At 39.1% G+C, this 3,739-nt stretch overlaps 1 pseudogene; it reads left to right on the top strand.

Annotated features, from left to right (window-relative positions):
* NANOGP10 (Nanog homeobox pseudogene 10) lies at positions 1,764-3,468 on the top strand (annotated as a pseudogene).

Below are 3,739 nucleotides of genomic sequence, written 5' to 3'. Positions count from 1 at the left end.
CACCATGGGGGGAGAAACCTACTCATAGACCTTACACCTTTCAGAAAAATGAACTCAATATGGATTATAGACCTAAATGAAAATGGCAAAACTATAAAACTCCTAGAAGAAAACATAGGAAGAAATATAAGTGACCTTAGGATGATGATGAATTTTTAGATACAATACCAAAAGCATGATCTATGAAAAAAAAGAAATTGATGTTGGATTTTGTTAAAATGAAAAAAATTTGCTCTGTGAAAGACTATGTTAGAGAATGAAAAGGCAAGCCATGGTCTGGGAGAAAATATTTTCAAAAAAAAATCTGATAAACGACTTGTACCCAAAATTTATAAATAACACCTAAAACATCCACCTAATTTAAAAAAAATAGATCTGAACAGACATCTCATCAAAGAAGACATGCAAATGGCAAATAAATATACAAGAAGATGTTCAACATTATTTGTCATCAGGAAATTACAAATTAAAACAACAGTGAGATACCACTACACACCTACTGAAATGGTAAAATCTAAAAAACTGACAATTCCAATTCTGACTAGGATGTGGGACACAGGAACTCTCATTCACTGCTGACAGGAATGCAAAATGGTACAGCCACTTTGAAAATAGTTTGACAGTTTCTTTCAAAGCTAAACATATTTTACCATACAATGGAACAATCATGCTCCTAAAAATTTCCCCAATTAATTTGAAAACCTATGTCTATGCAAAAACTTGTATGGGCCATGTGCGGTTGCTTATGTCTGTAATCCCAGCACTCTGGGAGGCCAAGGCAGGCAGATCGTTTGAAGCCAGGAGACCATCTTGGGCAACATGGCAAAATCCAATCTCTACAAAAAATACAAAAAAAATTAGCTGGGGATGGTCGCACATGCCTGTAGTCTCAGCTACTTTGGAGGCTGAGGCAGGAGGATCACCTGACCCCAGGAGGTTGAGGCTGTGGTGAGCTGTGACTGCACCATGGCACTCCAGCCTTGTCAATAGAGTTAGACGCTGTGACAAAACAAAAACAAAAAACTTGCACAATATTATTTATGTCGGTTTTATTCATAATTATCAAAAACTCAAAGCAACTAAGAAATTCTTCAATAGCAGAATGGATAAACAAACTGGGGGACATCTATACAATGGAATATTATTTAGGGATAGAAAGAAATGAAACTGGGCAGGGTGGTTGGTGCATGCTGTAGTCCAAGGTACTTGGGAGGCTAAGGCAAGAGAATTGTTTGAGGCCAGGAGCTGGAAGATGCAGTGAGCTATGATCATGGCACTGCACTCCAGCCTGGGTGACAGATTGAGACCCCATCTCAAAAAACAAAGCAAAACAAAAATTTTAAAAAAGAAATGAGCTATGAAGTCATAAAAAGACATGGATGAATTTTAAACACATATTGTTAGGTGAAACAAGCCAGTATGAAAAGGCAAATTACTGTAGTATTCTAATTATATGACATCCTAGGAAGAACAAACCTGTAGTGACAATAAAAACATCAGTGGTATCCAGGGTTTGTGGGAAGGAATGTAAGGTTCAAAAGACAATGCACAAGGTTTTCGTGTTTGTGTTTTAGGATGGTGAAAATATTCTCTACAATACTGTAATTGTAATAACATGGCACTGTGCAGTATGTCTAAACACAATGTATACAAACTAACTGTATACTTAATGTATACGAACTAAACAATCATTTAGGAATTAGGAGCATCTCGGGATGGAATGAGGAATGTGACAAAATCATCTAAGTGTATTACAAATATAGGCTGGACTGAGCTGGTTGCCTCCTGTTATTGTGGGGGTGACTCACTTCATCCCAACTTCTTGATACTTTCACTTCTGGAAGTCATATTTCTCTAAGATCTTCCAGAAAAAAGTCTTAAAGCTGCCTTAGCCTTTTTTTTTTACAGTCCAGCTCTTAATTTTTTCCCTCCTATTCCCCAATAATAACATGATCATGAATCCAACCTATGCCCAAAGCCTGCCTTGTTCTGAAGCATCCAACTGTAAAGAATCTTCACCTACGCCGGTGACTTGTGGGCCTGAAGAAAACTATCCATCCCTGCAAATGTCTTCTGCTGAGATGCCTCACTCAGAGACTGTCTCTCCTCTTCCTTCCGCCATGGATCTGCTTATCCAGGACAGCCCTGATTCTTCTACCAGTCCTAAAGGCAAAAAACCCACTTCTGCAGAGAAGAGCACCACAAAAAAGGAAGACAAGGTCCTGGTCAAGAAACAGAAGACCAGAACTGTGTTCCGTTCCACCCAGCTGTGTGTACTCAATGATAGATTTCACGGACAGAAATACCTCAGCCTCCAGCAGATGCAAGAACTTTCCAACATCCTGAACCTTAGCTACAAACAGGTTAAGACCTGGTTCCAGAACCAGAGAATGAAATCTAAGAGGTGACAGAAAAACAACTGGCCAAAGAATAGTAGTGGTGTGACTCAGAAGGCCTCAGCACCTACCTACCCCAGCCTCCACTCTTCCTACCACAAGGGATGCCTGGTGAACATGACTGGAAACCTTCCAATGTGGAGCAACCAGACCTGGAGCAATTCAACCTGGAGCAACCACACCCGGAACATCCATTCCTGGAGCAACCACTCCTGGTGCACCCAGTCCTGGAACAATCAGGCCTGGAACAGTCCCTTCTATAACTGTGGAGATGAATCTCTGCAGTCCTGCATGCAGTTCCAGCCAAATTCTCCTGCCAGTGACTTGGAGGTTGCCTTGGAAACTGCTGGGGAAAGCCATAATGTAATACAGCAGACCACTACGTATTTTAGTACTCCACAAGCCATAGATTTATTCCTAAACTACTCCACGAACATGCAACCTGAAGATACCTGAAGATGAGTGAAATTGATATTACTCAATTTCAGTGTGGACGCTGGCTGAATCCTACCTCTCCTTGCCTCCCCTCCCTCATAGGATTTTTCTTGGTTGGAAACCATGTGTTCTGGTTTCCATTATGCCTATCCAGTCAATTTGATGGAGGGTGGGGTATGACTGGAGCCTAATCAGAGAGGTTTCTTTCTTTATTCCTATTGAATCTTCCTGGAGAAAAGACATTTTAATAACCTTGGCTGCTAAGGACAACATGATAGAAGCTGTCTCTGGCTATAGATAAGTAGATATAATACTAGTTTGGATATCTTTAGGGTTTACAATCTAACCTCAATAATAAGAAATAAAAGTACAAATTGGTGTGATGAAGGTATATTCCTGTTTTTTGGGTTTGGGAGGCTTTACCTATTTTTTTAAAAACTCTATTGAGGTGAAGGGTTAAGCTGTAACATACTACATTTATTTCCTCAGCCCTTTTTGGCTCTGTTTTACTATAGCCCCCATTCTGTTGGTTATGCTAATATTTGTAGAAAGAGGTCTTATATTTGCTGCATCATAATGACATTAGTACTACTTTGGCTGGTATAAGTACAAATGAATAAAACAACCATTTTTCCTTAAAAAAATGAATGTATTACAAATATTAAAAATGACATGAATGAAGTCAGTGGGGGAATAGGTTGTTGACCAAAGTAACTTTGGAAATAAACGGTCTATAAAACTAAAGGCAAACAAAACTGTATATAAGCCTGTATTCTTGTTGATAAATTGTAAATGTGAATTAACAATTCTAGTACTGCTATATATGTATACTGGAATTGAACAATTAAGTAAATGAATGACAGAAAGTGGGAGCCAGGTATCTCACTGCTGGAGTGAGAGTTCATAGA

This window comes from Homo sapiens, chromosome X (assembly GCF_000001405.40).
Source record: "Homo sapiens chromosome X, GRCh38.p14 Primary Assembly".
Classification (NCBI taxonomy): Eukaryota; Metazoa; Chordata; class Mammalia; order Primates; family Hominidae; genus Homo; species Homo sapiens.
This window is presented reverse-complemented; position numbering and strand designations above follow the sequence as displayed.